This window comes from Homo sapiens, chromosome 11, assembly GCF_000001405.40.
Source record: "Homo sapiens chromosome 11, GRCh38.p14 Primary Assembly".
Taxonomy (NCBI): Eukaryota; Metazoa; Chordata; class Mammalia; order Primates; family Hominidae; genus Homo; species Homo sapiens.
The window spans coordinates 5,753,682-5,775,411 of NC_000011.10; the positions used below are offsets into that span (position 1 = coordinate 5,753,682).

The following is a 21,730-nucleotide window of genomic DNA, read 5'->3' on the forward strand; positions in this document are numbered from 1 at the left end:
CATACAATGTGTAATAATCCCTTTTAAAGGGCCGGGCACAGTGGCTCATGCCTGTAATCCCAGCACTTTGGGAGCCTGATGTGGGTGGATTACCTGAGGTCAGGAGTTGGAGACCAACCTGACCAATATAGTGAAACCCCATCTCTGCTAAAAATACAAAAATTAGCTGGGCGTGGTGGCATGTGCCTGTAGTCGCAGCTACTCGGGAGGCTAAGACAGGAGAATTGCTTGAATCCGGGAGGTGGAGGTTGCAGCCAAGATTGCGCCACTGCACTCCAGCCTGGGCAACAAAGCAAGACTCTGCCTCAAAAAAAAAAAAAAAAAAAAAAAAAAATCCCAGTAAAGTAAATAGGGGTATCCATCATCTCAAACATTTATCCTTTGTGTTACAGACAACCCAATTATATTATTTTAGTTATTTTAAAATATACAATTAAATTATTATTGAGTATAGACACCCAATAAATTTACTAATTTTTGAGACCCCAAGCTTCATTGAGTAATAATTTAATTAAAATTTCAAAATTCTTTGAACAGTGCCTGAGTACCCAAGAATAAATATCAGTCAGTCATTAAGAATAAAAATTAAAAAGTCAACATCTCATCTCTCAGATCATCAGTGAGGTAATCAAATGACTCTTCTTTAAAATTATATCTATATTGAGATGAGTATAGTTATAGTTAAGTAAGATATTCTAATAAAAATACCATTTGAAAAGTCAGAATTATACTTGATTATAAATCTATGAGATTGGGAATATGTCTTTTTATAAAATAATTGATGTTTGATTGGCATCTGTGTTGAAAACTTAGACTGCTCAATAAGAATTTTTTACTGAATCAATTAATTAATCAATCAATAAAACTAAACAGACAAACAAAATTATTTCTTGGCACTCAGAAATTTGGTTGTTGGACCATTAAAATGCATTATGGAATTTTTAAAAGTTGGGGGAGAGGGAGACAGTAAAAATAACCTATATTTTCTCTTGTTTTTTTTTTTAACTCTAGGAAAGCCCAGACAAATTTTGAGCTATTTCATAACCTACCAGACTTATCATGCTAACACTGAATAAAACAGACCTAATACCAGCTTCATTTATTCTGAATGGAGTCCCAGGACTGGAAGACACACAACTCTGGATTTCCTTCCCATTCTGCTCTATGTATGTTGTGGCTATGGTAGGGAATTGTGGACTCCTCTACCTCATTCACTATGAGGATGCCCTGCACAAACCCATGTACTACTTCTTGGCCATGCTTTCCTTTACTGACCTTGTTATGTGCTCTAGTACAATCCCTAAAGCCCTCTGCATCTTCTGGTTTCATCTCAAGGACATTGGATTTGATGAATGCCTTGTCCAGATGTTCTTCACCCACACCTTCACAGGGATGGAGTCTGGGGTGCTTATGCTTATGGCCCTGGATCGCTATGTGGCCATCTGCTACCCCTTACGCTATTCAACTATCCTCACCAATCCTGTAATTGCAAAGGTTGGGACTGCCACCTTCCTGAGAGGGGTATTACTCATTATTCCCTTTACTTTCCTCACCAAGCTCCTGCCCTACTGCAGAGGCAATATACTTCCCCATACCTACTGTGACCACATGTCTGTAGCCAAATTGTCCTGTGGTAATGTCAAGGTCAATGCCATCTATGGTCTGATGGTTGCCCTCCTGATTTGGGGCTTTGACATACTGTGTATCACCAACTCCTATACCATGATTCTCCGGGCAGTGGTCAGCCTCTCCTCAGCAGATGCTCGGCAGAAGGCCTTTAATACCTGCACTGCCCACATTTGTGCCATTGTTTTCTCCTATACTCCAGCTTTCTTCTCCTTCTTTTCCCACCGCTTTGGGGAACACATAATCCCCCCTTCTTGCCACATCATTGTAGCCAATATTTATCTGCTCCTACCACCCACTATGAACCCTATTGTCTATGGGGTGAAAACCAAACAGATACGAGACTGTGTCATAAGGATCCTTTCAGGTTCTAAGGATACCAAATCCTACAGCATGTGAATGAACACTTGCCAGGAGTGAGAAGAGAAGGAAAGAATTACTTCTATTTGCCTCTTATGCAGGAGTTCATAAAATCTTTCTGGAAGCACTGTATTGATCACAAAATGGAGTTTGTTAACTGGTGCATTCTCAATAAGTACCTTGGGAATCTCAACATCATTGGAAGGCCCACCAACATTTCTATAAATTTTTTACCTTCTCACTCATGTGAAGGACCAGTCTAATAATTAAACCATATTTTATTCGACAAAACCTAATGAGTCCATTTTTTATGAAAAGACAAATCTAAGTAGAAGGAGATGATGTGAGTCTTCTTTTCAATGATCACAATTTTCAGATTAATATTTCAGATTAATAGCCAGTTATTACTTTTGTCTAGAAAACATGTGCTATATATTTCTCATAACTACCAAAAACCTGTTTCTTCAATGACATTTTCCTGAAGGAGAATCTAGAGTGCATGCCATAAAGTCTAAAATGAGTTTTAAGTCTCTAAGCATCTAGCTAAAATATTATTAGGCTGAATAGGTCACATAATTATTTCACAACAGAATAATTGGATATTTCGTTTTCTTTAAAGGGGCTTTTTAAAAAGCACAGAGCCTGGAAAGAGAGGTAGAGATCTTAACCAAAAATAAAAAACAGTATAATTTTTTTCTAAGACCTGTATGAAAGGGGATCAAAATCTACTTGTTTCATTTTATCTCTAATTGTGAATCTAATAAGGAAAATTAGGTATATATTTCTAATATTTAAGATTTATCTAAATTAAAAAACAAGTGAGAAACTATAGAACATAGTATTTTCATATTAATGTCTCATAAACTAAGCCAATTATATAAGGAATATAAACTCAACTTTTACTGTTATTTTTCTGTGTCCAACTGACAAGAAAACATGTACTTCCCTGAAATTTAGTTAACTATAGTCGTCAAATTGCATTTATTCACTTAGTGAATCCTTCTTGACTATGTTGCATTTTACAAGCTGGCCAAACAGCAGTACCCACTAAAATATTATTATCCTCCATGTATCGCCCTATTTCAATATTTGCTACCCTAAAGCTAAAAGTCATCAGTATTCTCTTTACTTCCTCAACCTGACATCACTCTTCTCCTAGTTTGTCTTTCTCTTATCCCAGTTGTTATCTGAAATTGCTATTGTCAACTTCACCAATGCTTTTCCATGTTAACAAACTAAATAGTCCTCCTTCTTTGCTCATCTCACACTCTCTCAGGAATATTGATTTCAACTCAGTATTTCCAATATCTTGAAACACTATATCATTTTTATTTACTTCAGAGACACTACATATTTCATTTATGTAATACACTTTGTTTAACTTTGATTTGTTTTCTACATTCTCTTCCTAGGTGTTCTCCTTTAGTGTCATGGTCTTAAGTATTGGCTATAAAACTAATGATTCCCCAAAGGAAGCTAAGGTTCAGAGAACTGTTTTCCACGTACTTATTCTTCATGGCATACTATCTTTCTTAGACAGGTCAATATCTCCTTTTTCCCCCTGCATTCTCCATGTCTACTCCAATTTTCCATGTCCTGCTCCTCCAGTTTATCTCCCAGTGATTTTGGCATAACGTTTGTTATATTTTAGTTTCCTTAAAAATAGATGTTATTATTCAGTGATTTTATGTGTTTTAATTTAAATACATTTTATTGTGCTAAACAACTTAATCTGCTAATTTCTCACTCAATACTTTAAGATGTATTTATCTTAAATATCTTGGAACATGTATTTATATTTTATACTTGTCAATGTAATGTATATTACTTATTTCAAAATTGTTAAGTTGGCTAGATACAGTTTTGATAAAAAATTTGCATCTACTAACTTCACAACACACAAAAATCACCTGTGCTTCCATACACTATCTTGAACAATGTGAAATGGAAATTAAGAAAACAATCTTTTTTACAGTAATAATATTAAAAAGAATATAACACTTTGGAATAAATTTAACCAAGAAGGCAAACACTTATAAACTGAAAACTACAAAACTTTTTTTTAAAGAAGATGCAAATAAATGGAAAGATATTTTATGTTCACATTTTAGAAGACTTGCTAGTGTTAAAATTCTCGTACTGCATGAGGTAACTATGAACTTAGTGCAATCCTTATTTAATTCCCAATGAAAATTTTTATAGAAATAAAAAAGCAGTGCTAATATTCATGTGGAACCACAAAGGACTATAAATAACCAAAACAATCTTAAGAAAGAACAAAGTTGAAGGCCTCACACCTCATTATTTAAAAACATATTATAAAACGACAACAATTAAAACAGTATGTATAAATAAGTGTAATAAATTAAAACAGCACAGTATTAAGACACATAGACCAATGGAATAGAGAGCTCAGAAATAAACCCATGCACATACGGTTAATGGATGTTCAACAAGGGTGGCAAGAAAACACAATGGGGAAAGACATTCTTGTCAACAAATGAATTTGGGAAAACTGAATATCCATATGCAAAAGGATGAAATTGGACTCTTATCTTACACCACATACAAAAATAGATTCAAAGTGGATCAAAGACTTAAACCAAAGAACTAAAACCACAAAACTCCTAGAAGAAAACAAAATAGAAACATTTCATAACATTGGTCTTGGCTATGATTTCTTAGTTAGGACATTAAAAACACAAGGAAAAATAGCAAAAATAGGCAAATGGGACTATATCAAACTGAAAAGCTTTTGCACAGCAAAGAAAACAATCAACAGAGTAAAAGAGCAACTTACAGAATGGGAAATAATATTTGCAAACCATATATCTGATAAAAGATTAAAATCTAAAACATATAAAGAACTTCCAAAAATCAACAGCAAAAAATTGGTGAGACTATGAGTATTGGAAAGATTGTTTTCTCTTTTTTATTACTCTTTTAAAATTGTTCTACCTGCTCTGTAGTATATCTGTCATACTACTGGCAGGTATGTAAATTTAACTAATTATTTTTTGCATATCTTGTAATGATAAAGATACGCATAACCATCAGGTCCATTTCACACAAAACTGTAAATATATAATTACCAGAACCCATCAATTAGAATGCTTACTGCAACATGATTTGTAGAATAAAACTTAAAACTGGAAATATCTAAATGTCCATCACCATCAGATGGGTTAAATGAATTTTGGTACATTCCCACAGTACATTCCCACAGTACATTCTGTATGACAGTAAGAATATAAAATCTGCAACTTCAGGGACAGACTTTAACTCACTTCTCTTAACAATAAAAAAAAACAATTATACAGAAAGTTAGCAATGATATATAAGAACTTATAACACAATCAATCAACCTAATCTGAAAAACACTTCTAGAACATGCTACTCAACAAGAGGAGAATACATTTTTTTTTTCAAGTGCTCACAGAACATAGCCCTAAATTGTACTGAACAATGAAAGAAACCCAAACTTTTAAAAATAATTTCAAGCATACAGAGTGTATTTTCCACATAAAATGAAGTAAAACTGGAAATAAATAAATATATTATTCATTTTATATATATAATATGTATATATAATGGTAGTATATATATAATATATATATATAATGGTAGTATATATATAATATATATATATAATGGTAGCATATATATGTAATGAAAATCTCCAAACAGTAGAAAACTAAACAGCACATTTCTAAATAATCTTTGGGTCAAAAAGGAAGTGTCAGGGATATTTTAAAAAATATATTGCCGGTCACAGTGGCCCATGCCTATAATCCCAGCACTTTGGGAGGCCGAGGCAGGTGGATCACCTGAGGTCAGAAGTTTGAGACCAGCCTAACTGACATGGTGAAACCCGCTACTAAAAATTAAAAAAAAAAAAAAATTAGCCGGGCATAGTGGCCCATGCCTGTAATCCCAGCTACTTGTGAGGCTGAGGCAGGAGAATCCCTTGAACCCGGGAGGCAGAGTTTGCAGTGATCCGAGATCATGCCACTGCACGTCAGCCGGGGCATCAGAGTAAGACTGTGTCTCAAAAAAAAATTATATTGAAGAAAAATGACAATTCAACATATCAAAATGTGTGGGACACTGCGAAAGTATTACCAAGAGGGAAATTCATACAATTAAATAATTATATTAGGAGAATTAAAAGTCTCAGATCAATAAGCTCAGCTACCACTTCAAGAGTATAGAAAAAATCAGACTATAAATCCAAAGCAAGTAGAAAAAAGAAAACAACAAAAATAAGAGTGAAATCAATAAAACTGAAAACAGAAAAATAATAGAAAAAATCAATAAGGCATGGAGCTGCTTCCCTGAAAAAAATCAACAAAATTTATAATTTCTCACAATACAGTCATCTGTCTGATTCATTTAGAGATATGAAAAAGCCTCGGAATTGTGTAGATAGGATCAATGGGAGCGTGAGAATTCCAAGTTCAGCTATAACATGTACTGTGTGATATCAGGCAAGTTTCTTAAAATTTATGTGCATCAGTTCCTTTATCTATAAGATGTAAAGATACTGGTGCCTAACACAATGGAGGTTATTATGAATGATAATTTTTAAAATATGTAAGACACAAGGAATGATTTCTGTCATATAAGAAGTACTATGTAAGTGTTTGCTATTTTTGTTATGAAATAGATAAAGTAGTTCTGAATCTAGCTTGCATTAAGGGAAAGTTTTCTGTTAATTGTGTGACATGGTTGGGGAAGGCGTGCTGTGTACACTATGCATATGCATTGATAAGCTTAGACTATGGAATATTATAAAATCATATGGATTTCTTATTTGCATATGTTTGTGTGAGGTTAGAAGAGGGGATAGGTAGGATGGAGTTGACAAATTGAATTCTTCTGCAAACTATTTCTAGGGTTACCCAGAGAGAATCAGGCTATTCTACAACCTATCAGAGAGCTAAGCACCTCATCTTCCCTTCCTTTTGTGTAATGAAGCTCAGACTACCTAAACTGAATACAAGAGGATGCAAGAATTTTAAGCCTCTATCCTATGGTTGTTCATCAATTACTTAATATTATTTGACCTCTAGATCTCACTACCTGAATTATTTTTGGAGTGCTTTCCTCAATATTGTACAAGTCCTAGAGATACAAATTGACAGAAAATCCCTCTGAAATTTCTGTATGTATAAAACTTAAAAATGTAGGAAGAGGTTTTGTATTGTGCTTTTCCTTAAAAAAAAAAAAAACAACTTTCCCAAAGCCTTCCTCAAAGAGAAAATTATCATAAAATTTAGATATTTAACACTTTTATGCCTATATTTAATAAAAGCTAGCTCTACCATACCCAAATTAAGATTTTTAGCAAAATGATGTGACTTGTTCCTAATTACATCCACGCCCTAGATTTGACTTGCTTCAGGCTAATTGGGTTTTACAACCCTAGGGAATAGACTTTTCCTCCACTTAAGCAGGTCCCTGAGTTTCTCTGCACTGGTCATAATATCCTAGTCCATCTTCAGTGGCTGTAAACCAGCTCTGGGTATACTGAAGATCACTACATATGACAAGTCTTTCACAGGACACCACAGTAAGTACATAGCTGGGGCCAGAGTCAGTCTTTTTAATCTTCGCGGAGATTTGGGAATGCCATATAGAAGGGTAAGCCTCAGCTATGATGGAGGCATCTACATAATGCTTCTTTAATGACTGTGTAGAAACCATGAAATACACTTCATGTCAAATTAATCTGAATATTGGAAAACTTTATGGAACCTAATACAACAAAATGTTAGATATTTCATAACCACTATGTCTTAATATGTAAAAATAAAAGTATATTACCACCAGCATTTTTAGAATGATATTTCTTGTTTATTTATTGTTTTGGCATATTTTATTTTATTAGATACTTTGGAGCTTTGTAATTCTTCACAAAATTTTTTCAAGCTCAATATTTAGCTTTTGTATTAGACACTGTAACTCTCCAGCTCCGTTGAGTTTTTATGCATATTCCTGCACATGTCTTTCTTAGCTTGCTGACACATAATACCTGGTACCAGTTTCATGGTATTAGGCATCAAAGGCCCTCATTTAAATTTACCACATAAATATTAATTATCCCATCTTGCAAGAATTTTAATTAGGCATTTTAATAGAATTGTTAACACACTCCAGAATCTAGAAATGAATTATTATATTTCATAGAATAGAATCAAGAATCCTAGAGGCTAAGACTTTTGTTGAAGTTCATAGGGCCACACAGAATTTCATTTTCACCCAAAGTATTAGAATTTTTGCTGAACTGTGAGAATAATATATTTACATGTGTGTCTTTCAATTGGAAATACTAGAATTGGAAAGACAGAGTCTCACATACACCTGCCAAGAAGTAATATTAATGTTTAGCAATCATCAATATATAAATATAATCCATTGTAAGAATAAATTGTACAGTTTTCTTCCAAGCAGTTTTTCATTATAAAAGATTTATCTTAAATTTTCCTGGTATTTCAAGCTAGATCATTGTATTTTCTAAGATAGATGCCACATGTATTTTTTTTCTTTACTAATCTATTGAACAGTGGACCCTTACTTCATTGAAGAAAAATAATTGATTTACTATACTCTCTAGCAATTTAAACAATTTTTCTCTGGAGGCCATGTCCAATACTATTTTATATTTGATTCATTTATCGTTTAATGCCCTTGCTAAATTTTTCTAAATATATGAATGTCATTTGTTTTTTATGGCTTTCGATAATTTTGCATGTTGTTTTATGAAATTTATGATATTCTTTGTTACTTCTCACTCATTACCCAAAGCATCACTGATATTCATGCATCTTCTTTATGTATTTATGATCGGTAATCTCTTATTTTTTGCAAGAGATTTACATTTAACTCCTTTGGTACAAATATACAGTTATATAGAATGAATAAAACCTAGTATCTGATAGATCAGTAGACTGACTAAAGTTAACAATAATCTATTGTACATTTCAAAATAGCTGGAAGAGAATAATTTAAATGTTCCTAGCATCAAAGTATCACATGTACACTGAACATCTGTACATTTATGTATTAATAAAAAAAGACAAAAACAAATAATTCAAGAAAAAATCTATATCACTGCCAGTTTTTGTTTACGTATTTATTTAAAGAAATATATTTAAATATACTTTACCATAACCATACTTTGTCATTTTCTACTAGAATTTCAAGTTTAGGTTATGTGTTTGGGATCAGGCTAGTCACAAATACTATATTATCCTGTTAATGTTTATTATAATGTTATTATCATTTCACAATTATTATTTTAACTGAATTACTAATTTTATATATGACATTGTTACATTGGTTTTCTTATCTAAGAATACCCGATTTATTCTGCTTTCAAATTTTGTATTAAAGTTTCTTTCAAAAATAGTACAGTTTTAAAAAATGTAACCTGAGTCTCTTTTTTAATTAGCAATTATAATCTATAAGAATCAGTATGTTTACAGATGCATATGAATTACCTCTTTCATGTTTTATAATATGTATAATTTTATTTTTAGTTTTCATCTTGTCTTGATGAGATATCCGCTATACTCTTCTACCCCTTGATTGTTTCAACATGATTCTCCTTTCAATCCCTGTCTCCTTCCATTACATTATATTTATTTATTAATTTATTTTTGAGACGGAGTTTCACTCTTGTTGCCCAGGCTGGAGTGCAGTGGTACCATCTCAGCTCACCGCAACCTCCGCCTCCTGGGTTTAAGCAATTCTCCTACCTCAGCCTCCTGAGTAACTGGGGCTACAGGCACACGCCACCATGCCCGGCTAATTTTTGTATTTTCAGTAGGGACGGAGTTTCACCATGTTGGCCAGGATGGTCTCAATCTCTTGACCTCCTGATCCGCCTGCCTGGCCTCCCAAAGTGCTGGGATTACAGGCGTGAGCCACTGCACCTGGCCTCCACTATATTTTTAACGTGCTTATATGTCAATAGCCCTAACCTCCTCATAAACAATACAAGACTCATGGACATAAAACTGCTTATTTCTGCTTCAGTATTCATTCACATAATATAAATTGAGTGCTTATTAAGTGTCTGTCTCTTGGGGAAAAACAGTGACATAAATAACAAATATCCCACGCCTTTAGGTTTCTATGGGAGATACGTATATCAACTCAATGACCTACACACTGATATATATTTTTCCTTCTTTGGGCAGTTAGACACAATACAGTATTCCCCAAGCCACATTTTAATTAAGCATTAAAATTTGTAGAAACAATTTCATCAATTAACCTTATTTTGTTACAAGTAGTATAAGATGTTATTACCTAAAGTGAATATATCGACCAAGTCAACATAACATTGCCTCCTCTGTAGACTCTATAATTTTAGCGCACAAATTTTAAAAATAATTTTTTGCCTTTATATTGTATCCTTAATATTTTAAATACTTAAAAGGAAAGAAGAAATAAATAGTGCAGAGTAGCACAAGTAAAACATTTCATGAAAATTTGTTCTGAATATTTTAATTCAAATATTAACAAAAGAATATAGAAAGGAGGTGTCAGATACAGAGAGATTAGATATTAGGAGGCCTTATGCCAAAGCATTGCTCTCAAAATCACTGATTTGCGTGCATGTCTATGTTTGTGTGTGCATGTGCGTGCATGTTTTTAACTTCTACGCCAGTCATCATGGCCATATGGCCATTAGAATACTCCAAAAACCAAAAATATACGCAAGTAGAAATAAGTAACACAAAACTACAACCAACTGAATTTACAGAACACTGGTATTTCCAAACCACATTAAACTCTTTCATATTTGCATGAATTTATACACGTTATTAGAATGCTTACACATCAATTACATGACTATAAAATGGGTATACTAACTTAGCTCATACATTTTAATAAAAAGTAAATAATATACATCAATACTTCATAAATGTTTAAGTACGTGAACAAAAAATAGTTCACTTCTATATACTCTATCATCAAATATCTTACCTAAAAGGCCTCCATGCATAAAAAACCACTACTCTGAGTTTATACATTAGGTCTCTAAAGAAACCAACTCGTTAACAAAGACAAACTTAGGAAACCGGGCTGCAATACCAGATCACTTTCAACTTGTCCTGCTCCTGTGACTTACTGTAAGGAAGCTCTTAAACAAGGTCCTGATTTTATAATGTCGTATACCTTAGATATGAGAAAATGGAAAAAATATGACCTACCTTATAGAGTATTACAGATGATTAACTGAGTTATCACAGAGAATGTACCTAATATCACATAGGATAATACATGTCCAATAGATGTAAGTGACAACATGAGATTAACGAGGCTGAGTCACACCTCAATATCATGATGCTAGGTAATTATTTTCTCAATACTTCCATAGAGATTATTAGAAATACTAATATCAAATATTTTTCCCCTTAGTGGTGCTCCAGGAGCTCAGAGATTCCAACAGCTCTAAGTTCCAGGTCTCTGAGTTTATCCTGATGGGATTCCCTGGCATTCACAGTTGGCAGCACTGGCTCTCCCTGCCCCTGGCTCTGCTCTACCTCTTAGCTCTCAGTGCCAACATCCTTATCCTGATCATCATCAACAAAGAGGCAGCACTGCACCAGCCTATGTACTATTTCCTGGGCATCTTGGCTATGGCAGACATAGGCCTGGCTACCACCATCATGCCTAAGATTTTGGCCATCTTATGGTTCAATGCTAAGACCATCAGTCTCCTGGAGTGCTTTGCTCAGATGTATGCCATACATTGCTTTGTGGCCATGGAATCAAGTACCTTTGTCTGCATGGCTATTGATAGATATGTAGCCATTTGTCGACCGCTACGATATCCATCAATCATCACTGAATCTTTTGTTTTCAAAGCAAACGGGTTCATGGCACTGAGAAACAGCCTGTGTCTCATCTCAGTGCCTCTGTTGGCTGCCCAGAGGCATTACTGCTCCCAGAATCAAATTGAGCACTGTCTTTGTTCTAACCTTGGAGTCACTAGCCTATCTTGTGATGATCGAAGAATCAATAGCATTAACCAGGTCCTTTTGGCTTGGACACTCATGGGAAGTGACCTGGGTTTGATTATTTTATCATATGCTCTAATACTTTACTCTGTCCTGAAGCTGAACTCTCCAGAAGCTGCATCCAAGGCCTTAAGTACCTGCACCTCCCACCTCATCTTAATCCTTTTCTTCTACACAGTCATCATTGTGATTTCCATTACTCGTAGTACAGGAATGAGAGTTCCCCTTATTCCAGTTCTACTTAATGTGCTACACAATGTCATTCCCCCTGCCCTGAACCCCATGGTATATGCACTCAAGAACAAGGAACTCAGGCAAGGCTTATACAAGGTACTTAGACTGGAGTGAAGGGCACCTGATATGGAAAAGATATTCATTTTTTGAAAATTTTCTTCACATGTTTTTATATCATATTCTCCAACTGCTGCAAATGGCAGAACAACAAAGAAATAGCATAATGAATTGGTGGCAACAACTGACACTTTAGAACAAAGGAGATAGAAGTAATATTTGAAATATTTGGGAGTCAAGCAAAAATCTTCATCACAAAGGGTAACAGTGATGCTATTTGTCTCAAGGAATTCAAAGAAAAGACTAATGTAATCTACATTTCATGTTCTTACCCACTTGTCTTAGCTAAAACTTCCAGACAGTGTTGAATAGAAGTAGTTAGAGCAGATATTGTGTCAATCTATTCCTTTTAATTGAAGAGCTTAATATTTTACATTTGATGTAATAATTGATAAAATAGGAGATACTTCTGCATTTTCATGATTTGCTTTATTATGTGTCTTATATTTTTAATTTGCAAAGGACTTGAATAGACATTTCTCTAAGATTATATGCAAATGTCCAAAAAATACATGAAAAGATGCTCAACATAACTAGTCATTAATCATTAGGCAAATTCAATCAAAACCACAATAACACACCCCTTTACCCCCTATATTATACAACACCACAATAACACACCCCTTTACCCCCATATTATACATATAAATGTACTGCAAATTTATTTTTTTGCAATAAGAGATTAGTGTTTGCAAGTATATGGATACACTGAAATCTCAATACATTGTTGGGAAGTAAAAATGGCACAGTGGCTGTGGAAGAGTTTGGCAATTACTAAGAAACTTCAGTGCCATTAACATATGACCCAGGACCCAACTTTTAATAATACACCCAACATAATTGAAAAAAATGTTAATACAAAAACCTGTACACAAATGTTTACAGTAGCATTATTAGCCAAAAAGTAGAAACAACCTGTATATCTATAAGCTGTGTCTTGTTCTGTTTTGTGTTGTTACAACAGAATACCTAATACTGAGTTAGAAATATAGGTTTATTTAGCTCATAGTTCTGCAGGCAGGGTACTTCAAGGACATGTCCCTGGCTTCATCTGAGGACTTTGGTGTTGCCTCATAACATGGCAGACAAGGTCAAAGGGAAAACAGACATGTGCAAAGAGACAAAACCCAACGGGCTTCCCAGCTTTATAACAACTCACTGTCATGACAAATCCATCTCCCAGAGAACTGATCCAGTTATGTAACAGAGAAAACTCAGTAACTGCCACAAGAATAGCACCAAGTCATTCATGAGGAATCCATCCCCAGGACCCAAACATCTCTTACTGGGCCCCACTTCCCAATACCACTACAGTGGGGATCAAATTTCAACCTGATTTTTGGTGGAGACAAGCAAACCCTATCCACACCATAGCAGCTACTGAATGGATAAACAAAATTAAGTGTATCTATACTAGGAATTATTATTTAATAAAAAGTACCTATATGAGATGATAGATATACTAATCAGCTTCACTATAATAATTATTTTGCTGTCTCTATCCCATAATTTCATGCTGTAAATCTCAAATATATATAGAATAAAACTTATCTTACAAAAATTCAACTTGATTGAATTAAAAATTGCTAAATTTAACAAAATGACATGGAAAATTTTGTATAGTAAAGAGGAAAAATATAAAAAGAATAAATTCTCCCAACAACAAACAAACAAAAGTAAATGAAGTACTCGTACAATCTGCAGCATACATGAACTTTGAAAACATTATGCTTAGGTTAGTGAAGAAAGCCAAACACAAAAGGCCACCTAGTATCTGATTCCATTTGTATGAATATCCAGAATAGGTTAAGTCTATAGAAAAAAAAAGCAAATTAGTTGTTAGTAGGGAATGGAGACTCCAGGCAATAATGAGAGACTAACTAATAGTTATGAAGTTTCCTTTTGAGGTAATGGAAATATTGTGAAATTAGATAGTGGCAATGGTTGCACAGCATAATGAATGTAGTGAAAGTCACCCAATTGTACGTTTTCTTTTTTCATTTTATATAAAATTAAGGGGTACAACTGCTTTTTGATACATGGATGTATATCCATGTATAGCCTGGCTGTGGTGAAGTCTGGGCTTGTAGTGTACCCACCATAGTGGGTACCACCAGCATAGTGTATATTGTACCTACTAAGGAATTTCTCATTCCTCATTCCCCTTCCATCTGCCCATCCCCCAAATCTCCAATATTTATCTATTTCACACTCTATGCCTATGTGTACACATTAGGTAGTTCCCACTTAAAAGTGAGAACATGTGGTATTTGCTTTTCTGTTTCTGAGATATTTCACTTAAAATAATGGCCTCATAATCTATGCACGTTGCTGCAAAAAACATTATTTCATTTGTTTTCTTGACTGAGGAGTATTCCATTGTATATCATACCACATTTTTTTTATCCAGTCATCTGTTGATGGACACAGGTTGATTCCGTATCTTTCCCTGTGATAAACATACTAGTGCCAATATTTTTAAGTGTAATTATTTTAAATGCAATTATCTTCTTTTGGGTAGATACCTAGGATTGGCATTGCTGGATGGAATGGTAGTTCTAGTTTTAGTTTCTTGAATATTTCCGTACTGTTTTCCATAGAGGTCGTACTAATTTACATTCAATATAAAACAATATAAAAAACTGCAAAAATTATTCTCTACATGTATATTTGTTATATAACTTTCTGTAAATTAAAAGAACATAGATGTCTGAGAACAGGAAAATACTTAAGGAAGTGTGTAAAACACATAATGTGCCTTTATTTAATCATAATACTGAACAATCCTTTTTTGAATGTGCTTAATATAAACATTAACTGAAAATGATAGAATTTTTGTTTAAAATTTGATGTTATCCAAACGTTTGTCAAAAGTATATATAGAAATTGTATATAAAAGAAAAAGTATCAGAAGTTACCTCTACATTATAGAATTAGGTTCTAATTATCTCTGTGATGTCCTCATTTTTATTTTTACACTTAATAAAAACAAACATTTTTCTTCTAAATAAAAATACATAAAATTAGATTAATTATTGTCTTTTATTATTGCGTTTATTTGCATCACTATTATTATCTCAAAATTAAGGCATCTATTTATTGCTAGTTTAATATTTATATGTAATAAGTCTGAACTTTTGATTAATTTTTACAATTCCATAATATTCATCACCAATCTTCCTTGGAAATAAATTGCTTGAAAACCAAGGCCCATGTTTTCTGATGCTTTTTTCAAAGTTCCTAGACTAACTCTGAGAGTATGAAGCACTCAATGATGTTACTTAATACATGAAAACATAAAAAAAGGAAGATGCAAAGTTGTCTGTGTGAGCAATTAACACATTCTGTGCTTGCTTCCAATTTGTATGCCACAAGGCCTTAAGCAAAAAGAAACAACTCTGCAATCTTATTAATAACATAATTTTTAAAATAAAAACATCCTGTGTTCTTTCTCGCTTCCCCCCACATATACATGGCCACACATAAGCACATGTACAGATACATTCATAGGAAAGTATTCACTAGTTACTTATGAGGCATCATATAGGTGATGAGCATGGAGTGTTTCCACCCTTTCATCTCCTGTGAGCGTTGTCTTAATTCCAACACTGTGACCCTAATTATATGAAATATCCCCTTGGGACATATAACACATAATTTTCTTTAAAGGCTCATATCAGTAGTAAAGGTATCAAGGGATTTTAATGTTGGGGGGAGTACATGTACATATATTGTAGGATTCTCATGTGTTCTTTGACCAAGATTCTGAACATCTGGGCCAAACTGCATTCAGCTCATTCTATTGGCATCTGGAAATTAGGTATTAAAGGACATAAAAAGGAGACAGGGGTAGTGACAGGATTTTTCTTGTTGTAGTTCATAGTAGATAAATTGGAGAGATGTTTTGCCAAAGTGTACAGAATCTTTGAGTGTATACTATTATTATTCTCAGAAATTCAGACTTGATTTCATCCACTTAGTTTGAAGGTAGAAGTGTTGCAGACATTTGTTTTGCAGAATGTTTATTTCCCCAATTTTCAGGTTTTCATTCAGCGAAATTTTTATGATGATTTTGAATATTTATAAACAAAGCAAACAGGAATCATTGGAAATGATGAAAGTCAGGTATGAACCACCCGACAACATGGAGAAAAAATAGAAAACAGTTCTTGATTATGGTCAGAATTCTTCCATAATCAAGTTCTTACCTGCCCTCCTCTTGTTCCTTAGAATAAGAATCTAATTAACTGGCTTTATTCCTAGACAGACATAGTTGTGACTGTGTTTCATTGATTTTGGACAGCAAACATACTTGGATGAACCTACAGTCATTTTGAGAAAAGAGCATGGTCTGTAAAGACTGAGCATGGTCAAGTGAGGAAACAAAGTTACTATTTACAGAGTTTGGGGTGAAAATGCACAACCGATGATATCAAAATCATACTTTATAAATGGTGGTATTTGTTTTTAATGTTATCACTTAATAGACCTACTCACTCACAGCATAATACAAATCTATTATTCTTGCAGAATTATAAAGTAATATAGTATTAAAAGCATTTTATAAGCTTATATTTCTTGATGAGACTCATCACTTTTTAAAAAAAGTTGTGGCCCTCAGCTTCAAATCCTGATAATCGGGAACTCAGCGTATTGGGGACTAGAAGGTATTATAATTTCCCTTTTTCATAAAATATAAAGCTGAATTATCTTTCTTTCATCACCAGCAATTAGATAGATTTGTGTAAATTTACATTGCCACAGCAGTCACATTGCCCAGCTGAGTTTCCAGCAAGTATAAATATCATTCTCAGAGGCAATTTATAGTACAGTTCAAACAGACATCTTTCTCAATCGAAATCTCTTTCCCTTTGACTCTCGGGAAGCACAAATTAGAGAAATACAGAAAGCGGCATGTAAGATAAAATTAAAATGTAGCTGCTGTATTAAAAGAAGAGAGAATTAACAAAGTAAAATAAATTTTTGCTAACTTTAAAAAAAGCGTTTTTAATTTGTTTTGGAGAAAGTATTATATAACTTGTGCTTAGTGCTATATTATTTTGTATCAGCAAGATCTTTAACTGAGATGCTTATAAATGTAATTGAGATGAGAACTAAACTTCTCATGTAACAATAAAGCCAGTTTTAGTAATTAAAACTATATAAAAAGGAAACACAAGAGACATAAATAGGATATTTATGTGTTTCCCTTTTATAGTTACAGTTTTAATATATATTAATATAAGGTATATTAAATATATGAGATATAATGTAATATATATTAAATATATAATGTGAGATATTATATATGTAACATAAGATAAATATGCAATGTGAGATAAAGACAGCATAACTCATCCTAAAGATATATTTTTTATTTTCAACCTAGAGGTATCTTTACGTTCTCTAATTTCTCTACTTGCTTCTGTTACAGACATATAGAGTTAAGAGTTGACTGCTTAAATGAATCGATCAGGAAAAGCAAGCAATAATTCAATATTTTTCAAATATTTATGAGAACTTGGCATATATTAGTCAAATATTTATCAAACTACATTAGAAAATCTAGCTTATTTTCACAGTAATCTATACAATTATGTATGTATGTGTATAAATTATTAATTTAGTTTCTTTAATAATAAATTGTAAAGGAAATTTGAAAAATAGAATACACAAACATGAAGAACAAATTTACAAGCTTCACAGAAAGAAAATTGATAATTTTGTTATACAAGGAAACACTTTCTCATTTTGTAAGCACATATTTTTCTTATAACCAGAATACTAATTACAAAGCTTTTCTTAGCCTTGAAATTATTTGTGTAAATCCATACCAGTGTTGCTAAGTCGAAAATTGAAGATCAGCCAAGAAGTTGTGTTAATGTAAGTGGATTCCCCATTTTAAAATTTTCATTGTGTACTAATAATGTGAGAAAAATAACTTCAGTGTTTTCCATTATTTTGCTTGAGGGAAACTGTGTCAGACAGGAAAATGAAACAATTTGGTTCAATCAGTTTGATTTTTTTTTAATTTTCAATTTTTTGTGGGTACATATTACATGTATATATTTATGGGGTATATGAGATGTTTTTATACAGGCATGCAATGCATAATAATCACATCATGGAGGATGGGTTATCCATTCCTACAAGCATTTATCTTTGGTGTTACAAACAATCTAATTATACTACTCATTCTTAAATGTACAATTAAGTTATTATTGACTATAGTCACCCTGTTGTGCTATCAAATACTAGGTCTTATTCATTCTTTATAACTTTTTTTTTTGTACTCATTAACCATCACCACCTTCCCCGCCAGCTCCCACCCCAACCCACTACCCTTCCCGGCCTCTAGTAATTATCCTTCTATTCTCTATGATCATGAGTTCAATTGTTTTGGTTTTTAGATACCACAAATAAGTGAGAACATGTGATGTTTGTCTTTCTTGCCTGAACATAATTATTATGGTATTTTACTTCACATAATAATCTCCAGTTCCATCCCTGTTGTTGCAAATGACAGGATCTCATTCTTTACTGTGGCTGAATAGTACTCCACCGTGTATATGTACCAAATTTTCTTTATCCATTCATCTGTTGATGGACACAGGTTGCTTCCAAATCTTGGCTATTCTGAACAGTGCTGCAATCAGCTTTAATTGCATGGTGTCATGCATTTCATCTATTGTTTATCGAAAGTTGTCTCTACCCAGTACTTACTTTCTTTGGTTTCTACTTTGACTTTAATATTTCCTCAAAAAATTTTGGGGAAGGTTTTTAGTATGTTTAGTTTCTATTTCTATGAAACTCTTTGTGCATATATTGTATATAGTTTTGCCTTTGTACTTTTTTATTGCATATGTATGTATGTATGTGTATGTATGTATATGTGTGTGTATATAAATATATTTTATATATATATATTTTATATATATATATATATCCTAGCCCTGTGAAATAGGATCAACTTGTGGTAGAGATTAAATAATTAACCTTTACCTCCCAAACCAAAATATTTGTTTGGTTTGCCACCTTATTTACTTATTTATTTATTTTACCTTTTGGGGTTATCCTTTGTTTTCCCTAGGATTTTTCCAGGAATATTTTTTACAACATTATTAATCAAAAAGTAGAAATGACGTATATATCCATCGATTGCTGAAAGGATAAGCAAAATAAAGTATACCCATAAAAGGAATTATTATGGAATTATTATTCTGTCACCAGAAGAAGTGAAGTATGGTACATGTTGCAACATATATAACTATTGAAAACATATTAAGTGAAAAAGTTAGACTCAGTTGCCCATCTCTTGTGTGATTCCATTTATATGAATACCTACAATAGTCCATAGAAACAGAAAGCAAATGAATTGCTGTCAGAGCCAAGGGGGACAGGATGATAAGGACAGACTGACTAATGGTTACGGAGTTTCCTTTTGAGATGATGAAAGTATTCTGGGCTTACATACAGGTGATGGTTGCACAGCATTGTAACCATATTTAAAGCCACTCAATTGTACACTTAATTTTATTATTTTTAAATTTTGTGGATGCATAGTAGGTATTTATTATTTGATAAATGAGATGTTTTGCTCTAGACATGCAGTGTGAGATAAGCACATCATGGAGAATGGGGTATCCATTCCTTCAAGTATTTATCCTTTGAGTGACAATCCAATTCACTATTTAAGTTATTAAAAAATGTACAATTATTATTGATAATAGTCACTGTGTTGTGCTATCAAATAGTAACTTTTATTCATTCTTTCTATTTTTGTACCCATTCTTTCTATTTTTTAATTCATTCTTTCTAACTATTTTTTGTACTGTCTCCACCTCCCATGCCCAGACCTTCACTACACTTGCCAGCCTCTGGTAACCGTCCTTCTACTGTGTCCATGAGTTCAATTGCTTTGATTTTAGATCCCACTAATAAGTAAGAATATGAGATGTTTGTCTTTCTGTGCCGGGCTTACATCACTTAACATAATGATCTCCAGTTCCATCTATGTTGTTGCAAATGACAGTATCACTTTTTTTTTATGGTAGAATAGTATCCCACTGTGCATATGTAACACATTTTATTTTATTTATCCATTCATCTATTGATGATCAAAAGAAAGGAAATCAGTATATATTGAAGGGATATCTGCACTCTTATGTTTGTTGCAGCACCGTTTACAACAGCTAAGATTTGGAAGCAACCTAAGTGTCAACTGTATATTTTTAAAATGGTTAGAAAGGTTAATTTTATGTTATGTAGCTTCTATCACAAAAAAGAAAAAGTTGTATTTAAAATGTTCTCTACATATATATTTGTTGCATCACTTCTTGTAAAATAAAAATCCACAGATGTCTAAGAATAGGAAAGTGGTTACATAAATCGTGTAAATATATTGGTGTATTTTTTATATATTAGTAAGAGAATGAAACTGAAAAAGGCAAATAATGCCTTAGTATTACTATGAAAATTGTTGTGACTTCATATGTCTACACAAATGAACATGAAGCCCTCAACAATCCATGGATAACACCTCAACAACTGTTGCATTAGATATTCCAGAGGTAAAAGTGGAGGGAACAGGTGATAAATCACTAATGAGCAGTGAGCCAGGAAAGAGATATACAACTTAGAGATTATAGTGGAGAAAGTATATTCAAGACTTTTTTACACATCCGGTAGTTGTGAGCTTTATGTATTAAGGTATGAATATTCTTAATAGGCTATTTTATTCAATAGAGAAAATGTCATAAAATTAGTAAATGACTGATCAAAAATAAATCAATATTTAAAAACAGTATGTGTTTTGAGTCATATTCTGCATTTATTATTTTTGAGGCCTAACATGTATATTATATGTATTCCTTATTCCCTGAGTAAATTGGCCTGCAGACCGTTTTACAATATGACATTTACTAAAGGCCATTTTCAATAAATCCATGAATGCTATTTTTACCTGTATATTATCAGCATAATTCTTTTTCTTTTTTTTTTTTTTTTGAGAAGGAGTTTCACTCTTGTTGCCTAGGCTGGAGTGTGGTGTCACAATCTTGGCTCACTGCAACCTCCACTTCCTGGATTCAAGCAATTCTCCTGCTTAAGCCTCCCAAGTAACTGGGATTGCAGGCGCCCACCACCATGCCCAGCTAAGTTTTTGTATTTTTAGTAGAGACGGGGTTTCATCATGTTGGTCAGGCTGGTCTCGAACTCCTGACCTCAGGTGATCCACCTGCCTCGCCCTCCCAAAGTGCTGGGATTACAGGCATGAGCCACTGTGCCCAGCCCAGCATAATCTTTTATTCAACCATGAGCAAATATGTACCTGCTTTTAATACCTCTTCTGTTATATTTGC

General features: G+C 33.2%; 2 protein-coding genes across 4 annotated transcripts in view; both read left to right on the top strand.

Moving 5' to 3' along the window:
* OR52N4 (olfactory receptor family 52 subfamily N member 4) overlaps positions 1-2,277 on the top strand; it is a 29,487-nt gene extending 27,210 nt beyond the window's left edge. For 2 of the 3 annotated variants that reach the window (XM_017017711.3, XM_017017713.3), the window contains one exon: positions 1,012-2,277. In XM_017017711.3, the coding sequence (XP_016873200.1) occupies positions 1,060-2,025 (966 nt within the window). In that variant the 5' untranslated portion in view covers positions 1,012-1,059 and the 3' untranslated portion in view covers positions 2,026-2,277. Of the gene's footprint in view, positions 1-561; positions 625-1,011 lie in introns of those variants that run through there. The other variant, NM_001005175.5, reaches the window with a different exon arrangement.
* Positions 2,278-7,471: 5,194 nt separating this feature from the next.
* On the top strand, positions 7,472-15,399 carry OR56B2 (olfactory receptor family 56 subfamily B member 2). Its single transcript, NM_001396057.1, has 2 exons — positions 7,472-7,558; positions 11,419-15,399. Coding segments are annotated over exons 1-2 (951 nt in total). The 5' UTR covers positions 7,472-7,557; the 3' UTR covers positions 12,369-15,399.
* The last annotated feature ends 6,331 nt before the right edge of the window (positions 15,400-21,730 follow it).